Genomic DNA, 17,216 nt, shown 5'->3' with positions numbered 1-17,216 from the left:
GACCTTGTCATACTGTAATTACACATGATTCAGATTGCAAGAGAAGGTTTCTCTGTTCATTGGGAATAGTTGTAAGTTCAAGCAACACCAAACATGCCACTTAATCCTGGGACTTATTTTTTGGCTTATAAAGTCTTTCAAAATGATAAGAATAAATATAGAATAAGAATGCCAAGAATTTGTATGTCTACTTCCAGTACCTTTTAAAGTGTTATGTTAGCTATATTGTAGATCTATAAGTGATAGAGTAAAATTCTACCAATTGGAAATTGGAGAAACTGAAAATATGAATTTGTGAGAAATCTGAGTTATAAGATCTTTAAAAGAAATGCTCATATTCTATAATAAATAAGCTGTGTTGGCTATAGTGACAATCTAAATCACTTTCACTGTATACAGTAGCTGCTAAACAGAGATGAGCCTTAGGACTGAGGATGAACTGCTCAGCCACAAAGATGAAAGAGTCCTTAGTTTTGTAAATCTTTGGTTTGGAAAAGTGAATTGATTTTCAGGTTGATTTCCTTTACTTCACAGTAATATTAGAATTTGTAGGAGAAAAAATTATAGTATTTTTAACTTGTTGCTTAATGAGAATTATGTATACCATTTCAGAATTGAGCTAATTGGATTTGAATTAATGAGGTTTTACTCTGTCACAAAGATGGGTGGGAGACCTTCAATTTAAAACTAATGGCACAAAATCTTAGAAAAGAGATTTTGATGAAATGGTGAAGCCTGGAATGTCTATTAGCCATGACAAAACAGGTAGGTCAGAGTATGATGCATTTTTAAACTATTTACCTGCAAAAAAAGACAATATCTTATTTATTAGTACCAAAGATTTGTACTAGTCTGATATGACTGAAATGAATAGTCACATTCAAAACATTTCTTTTAAAATATTAATGTTTTTGTTTTTAGTATGATGTGAATTTGAGTGAACTTTTTTTCCAGTTACAGCCATCCTTACTATTGCAATTTGTTTCACTGACATTTATGATATGAAATCTGTTGCTTATTATTTTATGGAAGCTAATTTGGCCACTGGTAGGATTTGATAGCTTTTTATTTGTAGCCTTAGTCCTTTGAGTGGGCAGATAAAGCTTAATAAATCCACTCTAACAATTTTCCTTTAAGTGTATGAGGCCAGCTTTACTGCATAGTTTTGATTTGTGTTAAATGGTCTTCTGAAATAATTTGGGTAAGTTTTTATCAAGGTAACTAATACTTGAGGGCTTACTAGCTGAAGACGTTGTGTGCATCTGGTATATTTTCTCTTCAGAGTCATTTAAAAGATATAAGGAACAAAATGAAGATGAGTGACTGTTCTGATAGATTCAGCGAGTGTTATTTGTGTAGGGTTCTGTATGAAATTTAGATGACCAGTGAGAACAGTTTTACTGCTGTGCATTTTGAAGCACATAAAGTATAATTTTCCAAGGCACTTAAAAGCTGAATTGTTGGTGGAAATCTCATATTCTGTGGGTGAGAATGTAAATCGGGCAGGGGTATTTTGGAGAACATTGGCAAGGTCTATTAAGATTTTTAATGTTTATACTGTTTAGCCTAGCAAATTTACTTCTAGGAATTTTCTGACAAATATGTTCTCACAAGTACACAAAGATACAGCATGTTTCTTGTGACTGTTTTTGTAATAGTCAAAATTTGGAAGAAAGCCATATAGGGGCCCTCAACTGGATACAATTAAATGATGATAATCTATAAAAAGAGGTATATCTATTTGTAGATGCAGGAAGATCTTCAAGAATAATTAAGTGAAATAAGGCAAGTTGCTAAATCATTGTGATCTCATTTTTTCAAAAAAGTGCTTGTGCAGATAAGTATACGTATGTCTATACAAGTGTATGTCTGTAAATAAGTAAATTTGCATTAGCGGGCATCAAACTCTTACTAGTAGTTTAGTAGCTACTTGTGGTGGTGATGGGAGGTTATTTTTGTAGTGTTTGATTTTTTTTTAAAGTTAACTCCGTATATTTAAAACATTCAATGAGCACACATAACTTTTTAAAACTGAAAAAGAATAAAAAACCAATATAGAATATTGTTTTAAAAATAGGGATTAGCATGTAGCTATCTAAAAGTTAAAGATCTAAAAGTGATCTTTAATATCTTGGGTAGATATTGTTGCTTAAAGATGGAGAGAATTTAGGGTTAGGAATTACAGACTTGTATTCAAATGTTGGTTTAAGAGACTCCTTGTATGGTTTTGGACAAGTTACTTCTGTGTCTCTTTTCTCATTTGCATTATGGAAATGATGATAAAATAGAACTATTACCTCATAAGTTGAGGTTGAAATGTAAATCAACTGTTTTCATACTTATTGGGCTTAAGATCCTTTTACACTTACAAATTGAAGAACGCATAGAGTTTTTTTGTGTAAGTTATATCTATTAATTTTAGTGTATTAGAAATTAAAATGGAGACATTTTAAAGAAATTAATTTGTCTAAAGGTAGTAACCTATTATATGTTAACATACAGGTAACATTTTAATGAAAAATGAACATTTTCTTAAAAACAGTGACAAGAGGGGCATTGTTTACTTTTCTTTTCTTTTTTTTTTTTTTTTTCAAATCTCTTTGTTTTAATAGAAGACAACTAGGTCCTCTTACCAGCTTCTCTTTTCAGTCTATTGTGTTATCACATGTCCTGTAGCCTCTGGAAAACTCTGCTACACACTCACGAGAGAATGGGAAGGAAAAAGGCACATAACTTAATAGATTTTATTATATATATAGATTTAACGTCACCAATCACCTGAAAAGATCATAGGGATCCTGAGATCCTAACTCTACACTCCGAGAACTGCTGGTAGAAAGTATTCAGCCTACAATCTGGCACACATAAATTGCCCAATACATGGAAGCTGATTGTTATTATTGTTGCTAATAAAAACTTATTTAATGGAAAGAGAAAAGGTAAATCTTCCAAGGTATTTGCCTCATTAAATTCCGGTGAATGATTACCTAACAAAATTGTTTTCAGAAAAGGATAATTTAAACTTGGGTTTTTCTGGGCATATTTTATAGCTACTATTACTATCCATTCTTTTTTTTTTTTTTTTTTTTTTTTTTTTTTTTTTTTCACATGGTCTGGCCCTGTCACCCAGGCTGGGTTGTAATTGCGTGATTTCAGCTCATTGCAACCTCCATCTCCTGGACTCAAGCCATCCTCCCATCTCCTGGTCTCAAGCCATTTCCCAAACAGCTCAGACTATAGGCGTGGACCACCATGCCTGGCAGTTTGTGTGTGTGTGTGTTTTTGGTAGAGATGGGGTTTCACTATGTTGCCCAGACTGGTCTCCAACTCCTGGGCCCAGGTGACCCACCAGCCTCGATCTCCCAAATTGCTGAGATTACAGGCATGAGCCATTGTGCCCGGCCTATCACTGTCCATTCTGTGATGCATTACCTGAATTATGCAGAAGTCTTTTATATTCATTATTGTAGGTGCCCCTCTGTAGAACTACCTATCTTTATGAAGTAGGCCAGGCAGGGATATCACTTGGTTTGATAATTTTGCCTTAAAGGTCCTTTGTTCCTTCTCTTGGTTCTTTGAAGTTTCTTTCTCATGGGTCTTCCATGGACCAACCTTGGCCCCTTTCTTGCCTTTCTAGTCATTTATTACAGGTAATCCCCACTACATAACATCACTTTTACAGTTCTAAGATATAGAACTTTTCTTGTTTTGAATCTTCAAAAGAGATGTCATAGAAGCTGGGAAATTACATGGCACAATTTTGTGGTGTAGCTTTTATGAAGAACCTTGTTCATTTTTTTAAACAAATGAAATGTTTTTTTTTTCTAATTTGTAGATATTTGTTCATTGTAGAAAAGTCAAACCATGGACGAGTTATCTGAAATTTTCATATATAACTATAGTTAATATTTGTTAGACATCTTTATATATATACACATACACATCAATATTAACTATTAACATTCATTCATTCAACAAGTGTGTGCTTTTTTTTAGCTCCTACTATGTGCGTGCCTGCCTACCTCCCTCCCTCCCTCCCTCCCTCCTTTCCTTCCTTCCTTCTTTCATTTTGGGACAGGGTTTCCCTCTTGTCACCCAGGCTGGAGTGCAGTGGCATGATCTTGGCTCACTGCAACTTCTGCCTCCCGGGTTCAACTAATTCTCCTGCCTCAGCCTCCCGAGTAGCTGGGATTATAGGCATGCGCCACCACGCCCGGCTAATTTTGTATTTTTAGTAGAGACAGGGTTTCACCATGTTGGCCAGGCTGGTCTCAAACTCCTGACCTCAGGTGATCCTCCCGCCTTGGCCTTCCAAAGTGCTGAGATTACAGGCATGAGGCACCGCGCCCGGCCCTAGCACCCTTCTTAGAGCTGGAGATAAAGCACAGAGGAACATTCCTACCCTTGTGGCATATCATCTTTTAAAATTGTTGGATTTTTCTGGTATGACATTGTATATGGATTTATTATACTTCTTTTGGATTGTTCCCAGTTTTGATTTGTTATGAATAGTGCTGTGGTGGACATCTTTGACATTCATTTTAATGGTTTTTCTAATAATTTGTTTATGTTAAATTTCTAGAAGGGAGGTTGTGGAGTCAAAAGGTATACAGAGTTAAAATTTTGTTATATATTACCAAACTTTCCTCCAAAAAGATTGTCCCAGTTTATATTTCCTCAGGCATATAAACTGGAAATTAACAGCTTAAAAAAATCTTTGCCAATCTGTGTGGAAAAACTGCCTCATTTTGGTTTGCATTTATATGATTAGCAGTGCCACATATCTTTCATTATGTATTTATTTACCGTTTGTCTTTTGTGATGTGCCTTTTTTGTCCTTTGTAGTCCATGGCTGCTTTTTTAATTAAAAAAAAAAAAGCATGGGGAAATGCAGAGAATGATATAACAAACATTCAAATCCCCACTACCAAGAATGAATAAATGTTTACATATTATCTTATTTGATTCCTTGTTTGGATTCTGGAGAATTAACTATTATAGATGCAGCTAATGTTTTAAAATGCTTCCCAGCCTTTTCTTCCAACCCTTCAGTCTGTCTTCCATTCTATTTATTTTGCACATATATGTTGCTTACAAATAATAATGTATTGTGTCTTAAAATCAACGTGAAGAGGATCATGCTAGTGAATCTTTTTTTTACAATTGAGATATAATTCACATGCAAAATTTACCCTTTTAAAGTGTGCAAGTCTGTGGTTTTTAGTATATTCATAAGGTTGTGTAACCATTGCCATTATTTAATACCAGAATATTTTTATGAGTGAATACATTTGCATCTTGCTTTTTTCCCCCACTCAATTCTGTTTCTGAACCTGTCCACATTTCATCTATAAAGAGCCACGTCATTCTCTTTAATTTCTTCTGCTTAGTATTTCATCATGGGAATATATTGTATACTTTACTTTTCTGTTTTCCTATTAAGAAATAAATAGGTCATTTTCTGTTCTGTGCAGTGAGCATCTTTGTGCATGTTACCTTGTGCAGATGAACAAGGGTTTGGACATAGGCCTAGATTTTGAGTTATTGAGTTGTGGGCACGTGTGTCTTCATTTGTACTAGCTGCTGTCAGATTGCTCTAAAAAGTGGTTCTGACAGTTTATACTCTGTCAAGAAAATGAGTACCATTTTTCCTCTATATCTTTGCCAATTTTGGCTATTTTAATATTTCCTATTTTTCAGAGTTGAAATTTGGTATCTTTTTGTTTTCATTTACATTTCTCTGGTTCCTGGTGGGATTAAGCATTTTATATATATATATTGACTATTTTGATTTCCTCTTTATTGACTTCTTTTTATATCCTTTTTCTTAAAAGAAAAGATTGGGTTGCTTGTCATTTTCTTGTTTGTAGGATGTTCTTCCTTTGTTATTTTTGTTGAAAATATCTTGCCTCATTTTTTTCTTTTATCTTGATTTATGGTATCTTTTTGCCATATGCAAGCTTTTAATTTTGTCAAACTGATGTGCTTTATTTTGTTTTGTTTTCCTCTCTGGGCTTAGGGTCTTATTTAAGAATTTAGTTCGTGGCCATAGTAATGTGCTTAACCAAAAGGCAATATATATGTAGGATACAGTGAAAGACTGAGGGAGATACAAATAAGAGTAAGAGGAGGTCCCTGCCTTCAGTGTGCTGTGTCTTTTTAGAGCTGGAAAGGACACTTGAGATTCTTCATCTTCGATTACCCTTTCATTTTACTTTTAATCAGAAGCCTAGAAATGTGGAGCAATCTTGCATGTAGACACAATGAGTCACAAGTATGCCTGTGCAAAGATAACTAGTAATAAATGGTGGTCAATGTTTACTTTTAAAACATTGAGTAATAATTCACTTATATTAGCAGACAAATGTTCAGCAATAGCTGCTTTTGTAGACATGATCTAGGATTTAATTAAGTGGTGGTAACCATGGTAGATGCTGTTTAAAAGGAAAAAGTTCTATAGCTACTTTCAGACAAAATCAAATTCTCTATATGAATTAAAGTTTTCCTTTGAGATTAAATCATTAGAAAAAATTGTTGCTGGGTGGTAGTTATCTCCTGATATTTTGTCCCCAATTCACCCAGTGGTAAGAATTGCAATTACATGAAGGATGCAGGGTGTTGTTTTAAGAAGTAATGTTGCATGACTTAATCCTTTTGACTTAAGTGTGGTAAGTTTGCAGTGGTTGACGACTGAAGAAGGCTATTACGATAGAATTTCTAAAAAGATAAGGCCAGCATTTGGGTGTGATTTAGTTGGTATGTAGCAGTTAACAATTAACTTTTTGGATAAAATCAAGTCACCATTTTTTTTATTAAAGAAAATTATGGCTTATCTTTAAAATAGTGTTCATTAGTGATTATAAATATAATTAGTTACCTTTAATTAGTTACACATATTAGAAGGTTGATATTCTCAAAGCCAAGTTAATTTTTTTCTATTTTAAAATATTTGATTTTGTCAAAACTAGATTTTTTTTCTTTGTTCCTTTCCAGTAGAAATTATTAGTTATTTCCTCATCAATACCAGGCAAAATGCTCTGTGTGTGTATATTGATTTTTAAAAGCAAAATATATATTAACAGTTTCCTGAAGTATTAATAATAATAGCAGTGGCTTGGAGAGTAGGGAGGTAATTTGCCTCTTAATGTTTTCAGATATAAATTTTGTCTGAATGATGCCTTTTCATTTTTGCAGATAGGTTTTTATGTCCCATTTCCCCTGCCTCCCTCCAAGGATGGTACTGGGGATAGAATACTGTCTGATTATTCCAGGTATCTATTCATTTGATAAACATGTAAAACACTTTGGGTGTTTAAAAACCAGGTTCATTGTAGACTTTATATCATCTTTACCCTTTACCACAAATACTTCATTAATATGAATAATGAAAGCTAAATAATTACGACCTTTTTTATATTGAAGAAACATTCTTCTATTTCACATAGTATTTTCCTTCATTTTACTTATTTCTCTGTTTCTCTATAATAAGCAGCTGTTTTATAGAGTCAATGAAACATGGGGGATTTGGGCTGTTGAGATTTAGTTGCATTGAGTGGAACACGTTATTTGAAAATGTTGACCCAGTTCAAGATTGTCTGATGCTTGTTGTATGACTTTTTCTCTGTATGCACAGAAATAGTAACTAGTGGGCTGGAAGCTAACTTCCCTCATTTTATGGAGCACCAAAGCAGCACGTGTTATGTGTTACATGCTTTCATTAGACCAACACTCCCTTCTCTTTGTATATGTTATCTCTTTTTCCTCCTGTGTTGCATTAGAGTTACACATCAGAAAGGATGGGACCTATGTTATCACTGTAGATACTACTTATAGCTCCATCAATGTAATGTCTTGACCCTGGAATTTTTTGGCAACCGTATAAAGGCAGGTATTGCAAGTCAGAAAAAGGGTTTTAGAATCCCTGGCTTTACTTTCCACTCCTGTAAGTTATAAATTATTACTCAGATTTCTGAAACTCATTTCTTCTGCACCTCTAATAATTGACTTTGTGTAAACAGAACCACCACTTGAATTTAGCAGGAAACATTGTGTCTGCTGAGAATCACATTTTCTAGAATGTGTTCTAGCATTTGTAATAGGCAAAAATGAATTTTTCTCTTTTCTCTTTTTTCCCTTATTCTTTCTTCACTTACTTTGGATGCTTAAAAAGAAAAGCTAGACACAAACTTGAAGGACTTGGCCAGCTCTATCATTTTTTTACTACCTAATCCATGAAATACAACCAGCCTTTTAGCTTTAAAAATAAGAGTCTAATGTAATTCCAGTAACTGGTAGGAGCAGTATTTAGCAGTGTGGCAGGAAAGGCCCTGGCCTGGGAGGTAGAAAGGATGTGTTTGGACTGAATAAGCTGTGTGGGCTTTTGCAGCTCTGAAAATACTGTTTTTCCTTTAGTTTTAAAAAGGATAAATTCTGCAATTGTCATTGATCTAGTGTTTTTATAACAATGAAATAATAACTACCCTTTATTAAATAGCTATATTGGTTATCATGCTAGACAATAGACATGTGGAGTATTTAATTTCTGACTCTTCCTAAGTAGTAGTTCGGAGAATGATATTCTTGAGAAAATAAAATACCAATATATGAACATCAGTGTATTGGAATTTTATCCTTTCTTATGGTGAATGGACAGTGAAATGGGTGAAAGACTTGCTGCAGTAATAGGGAAGTAGAAGATAACATGAGTAATTCACCAAATAAGGGATTAAGTTACACTTGTAAAAGTTAATTTCTGATCATATCGGTGCCATTCACCTCAACCATCAACTATTACTTGTAGATTGGAGCATTTCAAGAACTCAGAAGACCACCCAGTGTTGATAGGAAACTTCTTCCTCAATTATGGCTCTTGACCATGCCATTAGATCGTTGGGTTTTTCATGCTTTTTTGTCTTTTACATAAAATAGACCTTGAAATTGTGTCACTTAATTTGCTTTTCTGAAGTATCACTTACCAGATATTACTTGTGTTTTTATTATCAATAGAGTAATAATTGAGGACTGCCCATGTAAGCTAATTGAGGGCTGTCTGTATTATCATGTGAACAGATTAGAAGAAAGTATATGAAATTTTTGATCATCCAACATACTTGCATACATACATATAAGAATAAATAGGGTTTTCTATTTAATAATTCAAATGCTGAATTGAAGTTGTTTTGAAAAGCAAGTACTTTTCTACTCTTCAGTTGTAACATGCTGTATAACTTTTAGGTCAAAGAAAAAATAATTTTAGTTAGCATTCCAATTCTGTAAAGGAAATTGTCAAGCAATTGACTAGAGCCGATAATTTATCCAAAAATACACAAATGCAGACATTTAAAATAGAGCTGCAAATAAATAGGAATTTTCTTACATTGTAAAGGCTAAACAATAGCTTATAGTTAATGCTTCTTGACAGAGTATCTTTTTTAGGTTAACATCATTGATTCAGTTCATTTTCTGTGTTAGAATGGCTAGATTTGTTCATCTTTACCCCACATTTTGAGAAGTATGTGATAGATAAAAATACATCACTGAAAAGATGGGAAGAAATACTATCGTAGAATGTTAATATAAGTGATCTCTGGGACGTGGGATATCAGGAACTTCTTATTGTTGTCAGTAAAATTCGTTGGCTTTTTCAAGTTTTCTTGAATGACTCATATTATGTGAAAGTAAAACTAGTATTTAAATGTATGTATGGGCACATTTACAATAAGATTTTTAGTTTTTTCTACAAGTAATTTGGAACATGATTAAGACTGTCTTTCCCAAGAAACATTTTCAAATTTTGCTATTTGACATTTTTGCCACCTTGTCGTTTTGAGTCTTTTCCTTTAATGTTACTATGAGTATTTGCACAATGTTTCATAAGTTGATCGTAAGCTTTAAAGGGAGACATGTAGATAACGTTCTTACCTTTCTTAACATTTTGTATTGAAGTTATAAAAGTAATGAGATTAACCTGATTTATAAATGTGTATTCATATAGGATAGTCTTGGTAACAGAAAGATACCCATGTGTAATATATCAGTACAGTATACATTTTTGGAGTACTTAGGAATGTTTTGAAAAGTTCTGGCCCTTTTTTCCTGTGGAGTTTTGATAACTTTGATAATTAACATGTCTATCTTGCTGTGTAGTGTTAAAAATTTTTCTAGAGCCTACATCTGACTTTAAAAATCAACTACAAATAAAAAGACTGTCATCATGTTGCTTAGATATATGGTGATTATGTTGAAGAATAAATAGTATTGATAATTGGAAATAAAAGACTCAATTCCAATGTGTGCATCTTTGTATATAATTTGGAAGTTAAACATGAACTTTTAAGAAATAAAAAGTACCAAAACAAGTACCAAACATAAGGCATAGAGAAAAAAAGATTTAGGGCAGAGAAAGAAGTGGTCCTTTTTGGATGGAGAATTCATGCATAATTCCATAAATTCAAACTATTTTGATACTAAGATGATTTTATTAATATTTCATATATAAGCTACAAAAATAACTAGAGGTTTTTACAAAGGGAAATTAGTACATAATTTTATGTTTTATATACAATGCAGATTGATATGAATATTCCTTAAGCATAACTAAAAATGATTTCCGCAAAATGAGGAGGTTAATTTTAGTTGTCTCAAGGGTCTCTCTGCAATCTAAAATTTATCTAATTAAGTCCATGATTTTATAGTCCGTGAGAAAACACATTTGCATTTTGACATTAAACTTTAAAAGTGTACTGTGCACTAATGCATAGCAAAGCTATATGTCAAATAAAAATAAGGGCATTTTCCCTTTAGTAGTAGATGATTTTACAAAATCCATAAAATACAAATAGATTAACTCTACCTTAGAATGTTTGTGAAATATAAACAATGATGTTTATGATCTGGGTATTTCTTATTAGCTGCTTGAATAAAATTGCAACTTCAAATTCTATTTGCCAGCATTTGGAATAAGATTATATTCCATGAACTTAATTTAGTTCTGCTGACAAATTTCTGCTTAACTATGTCTATTCCTTTTGAGAGAATTCTAAATGTGATTGATAATGGCCTGGAATCCCTTCTTCAGGATTAAGGTGTATACAAGAATGAGGAAAATATACTCTTTGGCACAATGAGTACAGATGGCAATGTTTATTTGCTGCTTTTATTAGTAAGTTAATTTATATAGATGTCTTAACTGCAAAAATAAAATAATAGTTTTAAAATTAAGTAATTGTTTTAAAACTTGTTATAACCAAATACCCCAGACACCAAGTTGAAGAGTGGAGAGTTTGAGCAATATGAAGACCTGGTTTGAGTATTGCAAAGAGATTCCAAATTGGCACCAAATTAAATAAAAATACTCATAAAATTTTGTTATAGGACAGACAAAACTATGGTAGATGACGATAGTGTACAAATGGCCCTTATTTGGAGCATATGGAGTGGGAGCATATTTTGCAGTGAAAGAGGAACCAGAGGACAAGGTGTTCTCTACTTGTAGACTTGTAAAGACCTCTGAGTTTTCTTTATGTTATTGTAGAAAGACATTATTTTTGCTTTGGTGTGCTTAAAACTAAAGGGCAAATGATCCAAAAGAATAATCTTGAAATTCAATAGCAAGAGAACTACTTGACATTGTGGGCTGGAGGCCAGCAAACGTGGGGCTTTCATTGAATGCGTGGGAAATGGGGCAGGCCTGGAATTTAAAGAGACAGGGTGCAGTACCCTAGAAAAGAAAAGCCCTCCTGTATGATTTGCTTACTTGGAGAAAAAAAATAGACTTAAAGTTTTCTCTAAAGGATCTTTATTGGATCAACTGTTTAAGGCATTGAAAGACACTGAGTGAATTTTTCCTAACTCCACCTCCCACACTCCCTAGCCATCTTCTCTTGTCTGAAATTGGTGCAGAGTAAAATTGTTTATAACAGAGCACAAGCAGCTTTTCAAATAAAAGTACTTTGTAGCCTGTTCAAATGGAGTATAATGTAATTCTCTCTGAAATTGAGCACTTATTACTTTGTTTATGTAGCTGTTTTAAAAGTACGGGTGGGTGAAGGGGGTACGGCAGGAACCTCTGCTTTAGAAATTACTGTTTTTTTCTGAGTTTTCCTCCCCCATCCACTCATGAATCCGCCTTCACCCCTCCCCCACCTCCTGCAATCCCTCAATAAAATAGTATTTAAAAGACTTGAATAACCAGTCCTATGTACCAGCTTCTTGCTGGAGGCAATAATGTTCTATTTTCAATGGGTGGTCTTGAATCTCCATGGGAGATTTTACAGGCAGTGGGCTCCAAGACCCACTAAGTGTATTATATGAACATAACCAGCTAAATTTCCCAGCCATAGAGAATACGCAGGGATAGTTTTACGTTATTGAATTCTCGTCATTAATTACTTGCAAACTAATTTATTTAATTTTATTTGAAGAAGTATGGTTTAAGTCCCTAAAGTGAAACATATTAACCCAGCATTTGGGAGTTACTTTTTAAAACCAGTAAGCCATTCATAAGTGTGTCAGTTTAGGAATATCCATTCGTGCACATACTTTAATTATTAAATGTTAAGTAATTTGTACTCCTTTACAAAACCAACACTTAGTAATTGTCTTCAAATGCTTAATAGTTGAAGTGAGATTTCTTCTACTTAAGATGGTATAAAATGATGATATAGGACTCATAATCAGAAAGTATGTTTGATATATTTATAATCAATTAGTATCTCTTACCTATGGCATATAGTATAAATGTTATACTAGCTTAAAATCTGACTAAAATTGTTCTGGCCCAAACCTTTGTGGAAGTAAACATGATTGGAATTATGTTAAATACTGGATTAAAATTGTTCTTTAGGCGAATTACTTGAGTAAGACAATATAGTTACATATGCATCATAAATATTGAAATGGGGAATGTTGTGTCATATCTATTCCCACATAACTTAGTTTGAAATTATTTTGGAGCTTCTTTCTAGTATGAACCCGTGGTTATTAACTAGACTAATAAGCATAACTTTGTTGGGTCACTTATTTAAATTACTTTGTTTCCGTTATTCACATTCTTCAGACACTTGATTTATAAATAAATAAATATTTATAAGTCCCAATTAGCTAGATGTCTGAAATACCTGTTTTCCACAGGGTAAGTAGAAAAGAATGTAGGAATAGGTATCTCAGATACATTGATAGTAACCAGATGATGATATGTAATGAGAGAGCTATTTTTGGTTTATTTTGAACAGTGTAAGTAGTTTTTGGTAGGAAATTGTAATCCTTGAGGAATTGAGTTTGTTTCTTTTATAAAAATCATTATACAGTTGTTTTAGGTCTTCTATAAAATGGTATAAATCCTGCAGTTTTCTTCACTGAAAGAATCAAACATCTATGGCTCAACAGTTTACAGCAATGACTAACCATTTGCCTTTTATTTTTTAGCTTAATATGTTCTTGAATAGCTAAAAAGTTTTCCAGTAGTTTTTATAAGTGAGTTTAAAGAAGTGATAGCCATCTGAAGTTTTATCTTGTGTAGCCAGTATTTAAAAGTTATTAAGATTATCTACACAGAAAAAAGATACAACTTACTTCTGGCCATATATGTGAATAAAAGTTTAACATTGTTAAAAATTAGCTTGTCAAGTAAACGTACTGACTGAGGCATAATTTTGTTTTCGTTATCCATTCCGTTGGCTGAAAATGAAATAGAAACGATCTGGTTACTAAAGACCAGTGCTGCATTGGATCACTTCCTTGAGCTTTTGCTATGATCGTTAAAGGCAAAGTTAGACAGCTGCTGTAGGTTTTGCCAGTGGCCTCACAAAATAAATTGTTTAACCCTATTAGTTTCAAACACTATCATTTCTACTTTGCAGATATGCTAGCTGTGTTTTATATGAATCTATATGACTATGATTTGAATTTCTGATTTACAGGAAGGTAGTATAGCAGAAAATGAGTAATTTTAACATGATTATATTTTCATGTCTTGGAATATAACAAATCTCAACATTTTTGCTTATATTGGGACAGATTTAAAAACTTCAGCTTAGACTGTTTAAAGTTAGACTTTGTTTTTTGTATCTGAAGACTTTTAGAAAACTGTGAAAATTGAGTTTGACTTATAATCCTTGATAATTGGATATTTAAATGTCATTTTTAGGCTTGAAGTTCAGAGGAAATACTAACTCATTGACTTTAAAATCTCATCTTGGATAAGTGTAGAGTTAGAATAATACCATGTACTCCTGGAATTGATGTCATAATGTTAAAAATCCCAACAAAATTTCAACAATGTTGGGTCCTTCTGTATAATGTGTTTGCGTTATTGCTATAGATTTAAAGGGCAGGGAAATACTTTATTGTTAAGTCTTAAGAGGGCAAGATTTTGAAACCCACTGCTACGTGATTAAATCAGTGTGTTTGCCCTGAGGCTTCAGCCATTCAATCTGAATTCATAGCCTGAAATTTTGGATACCTTCTGTGTTTGAAAATAATACTTCTTAAACAATTTTAAGACTGCCTTTGCCTATTCACATGAAAACTATTGAGGCAAATTACCAGGGTTAAGATTTTCATGTAATCAAGACTCTCAAGATAAATTTCAGTATTTTAAAGAGAAAGTTCACAGCCACTGTACATAAAATTTTAGTGGGCTTTTCATTAATCTAAAATAACTGGTCTATAAGTACTTTATCAGTGAAAACTGCTCAGCATGTAAAACGAGGAGTAGAAGAGCACAAAGGCTTCCTGCAAATTAAGGGCACAATGAGTACTAACGGACTTTCCAGCCATCTCCAGCTGTGAGATTATTATAGTTTTTGCAAACCCTTTTCTCTCAAAACTAAATCAAGAATGGTAGAGTCCTGATAAAAAGAAGTGTAGAAAAGCCTAACTAATCCTTAGATGAGTTACTTCAAACGTGCCAAAATAGAATAAAATCAGTTAATAGCATAGATTAAGGGTTACTTTTAATGCATTTTTATCACTCACATTGAGAATTTTGTTGTATGTTAATGCATTTGGCCTTAGTTAACAAAATTCAGAGGAAAAAACATAATGAAATTTGAGAGATTACATAATCACATTATTTTGAGGAAATTTAGTACTAAGTTGCGGGTGCCAGATTTGACCTAAGAGGTAAAAGTGGTGTTCTTGAGATCAGAGCTGAAACAGGTGGCTCTAAGTTTTCTGGTTATAAATAGAAGGCTAACCTATATACTTATAAGAGTTGGCTTATTATATAGATTTTGAAAAACAATGTGGCTATATGTCTTTGGATAAATATGTCCAAGTGGTTTCTTGGATAAGATTATAGAAGACTGCCAAAATCAGATCTGGATTAATGTTTCAAAAGTGCTTGATTCTTGCTAATGGTAAAGAGAAAGTGAGAAGGAGAAATTAGAGGCAGATTTTAGGTGCAAAGGTAGTCTTTATTTTATGTATATATCTAAAAATGATCTTTCATATATAGAGGGAGACTATATCATATCTACTTTTAATTCAGAGCCACATGTTAGCCAACTACTGAATTTGTGGAATTATGGCATATTATGATAAAGCTGCCAAAAATACTGGGTTAAGGAAAAATTGATTTGGCATGATGCCATTGGCAGGAGGAATTAAAAAGTGACATGTCTTTCTCTTTTTAGGTGGAGATAAATAAATATATGTGTGCATATGCTGTGTGTGTGTGTGTGTGTGTGTGTGTGTGTGTGTGTATCAAACTTAATAAAACATTGTTACAAGAGCCTGGCAGTAGGAGATTTGATAATCATGTTACATTTGCCACTCCTCCAAGATGCCAAATTCTAAGTGTCTCTATGAGGACTTAACATTTACTTCCTTGTAATAAATGTATTGCTTTTGCAGTGGGATAACAGGAAATAGTTTGACTGTCACTCCTGAGCACATGCGTGTACTATATGGGTTAGGTGTTTGTGTGTCTATGTGCCCATCCCACATATCCCATATACAAATGTAGATTTTTTTATAAGCCATGTGAGAGTAAAGTTCTGTTAATTTATAGTCAAAACATATAATTTGCCCATACATACAATTCCTTTATTGAAATTCTGACCACATTTAACCTTATTGAAAGCTTCTAGCTTGAATGAGTTTTGCTACATTGAATAAATACTATGCTGTATAGTTATTTATGTGCTTAAGAAGCTGAACTTTCATTCCATCCCAGTAAGTTCCCATGGGATAAGTTATTTTAGTAAATCAGAAAATTTCTCTGAAAGCAAAGTAATTCTTAATTTTTGGAGGCTTGAAAATGGAGAAAATAGCCATACGAGTTAGCGGGAAGAAGTTCTCATTGATTCATATCGCTAAAAAATAATTTAAAATACTTGTACTCTTAAATTATCGTGAGGGGGAAGAACCCACCACAGTGCTGCTGAATTGTTTTACTTCTGGGATTATATCTTTGTGTGTTTATAGGAGTGGGAACATTTTATCTTCTGTGTTTCTGTTGAGGTTGTTTTTCAGCAGTGCCCCAAGAAAAGTCCTGGAGTCTAGCTTTGAAGCCCGGTGGACAAGCTGGATATCAAAGAGCCAGAGGAATTCAGCAGTAATTGTTTTATGACTGGCCAGAAATCAGACCTATTTGTATAGGTAGCACACAAAATAGCTGTGATTTGACAATTTGGTGCTATTTATACCCACCATAAAAAGAGAAAAGAAAAAGTTAAAGGGATATTTTGGAAACAGGAACTAAGCTGTAAATGCAAATTGCTTCATTTTCTCAAAGGAACAAAAAAAGAAAGGGTTTAGGAAGTTTTTATTGAAGCTACATTATTGAGGATCTGTCTGCTTTCAGGACACTCAATATTGTACTCACATTGAAACTACACTTCTTTCTGTTTGCAGTTTTTTCCCTATTCCCATCTGACTAAAATTATTTTTGTGGAGCAAAAGAAACTCTGGGGGAGGAGGGATAGTGGAGTCACAAAGTTTCCAACTCTATCTTAGTAGACATTTACAGTTTCATATTGCTGTTGTTATTTAGCTTGGGGTAAGAACAGTCTGCTGTTGCTACAGCTAAGTATTTTTCCATATAAAAGTTACATATTTTCCACAGTCAGTTGCAGATCATTTATTATAGTGAAGTGTGAGACTTTGCTAGGTAAGTTTTCATGTGTTTTTTTAGAAACACGCAGAATAAACTTTCTACTTTCTATGACTATTTTTGATCTGGAAGCCAGAGACATCTTTTTGAATACAAAACG

General features: G+C 33.2%; 1 protein-coding gene across 2 annotated transcripts in view, besides 1 other annotated feature; it reads left to right on the top strand.

Annotated features, from left to right (window-relative positions):
* MLLT3 (MLLT3 super elongation complex subunit) overlaps positions 1-17,216 on the top strand; it is a 280,831-nt gene that overhangs the window by 4,034 nt on the left and 259,581 nt on the right. The gene's annotated exons all lie outside the window — the stretch shown is intronic.
* Positions 13,621-13,670: a silencer, noted in NCBI's record as "silent region_19796". NCBI's record gives its function as "represses an Ori minimal core promoter by ATAC-STARR-seq in GM12878 lymphoblastoid cells {active_cell/tissue: GM12878}" and the evidence as "EXISTENCE:reporter gene assay evidence [ECO:0000049][PMID:35858748]".

The sequence above is a fragment of the Homo sapiens genome, chromosome 9 (genome assembly GCF_000001405.40).
Source record: "Homo sapiens chromosome 9, GRCh38.p14 Primary Assembly".
In the NCBI taxonomy this organism is placed as follows: domain Eukaryota; kingdom Metazoa; phylum Chordata; class Mammalia; order Primates; family Hominidae; genus Homo; species Homo sapiens.
This window is presented reverse-complemented; position numbering and strand designations above follow the sequence as displayed.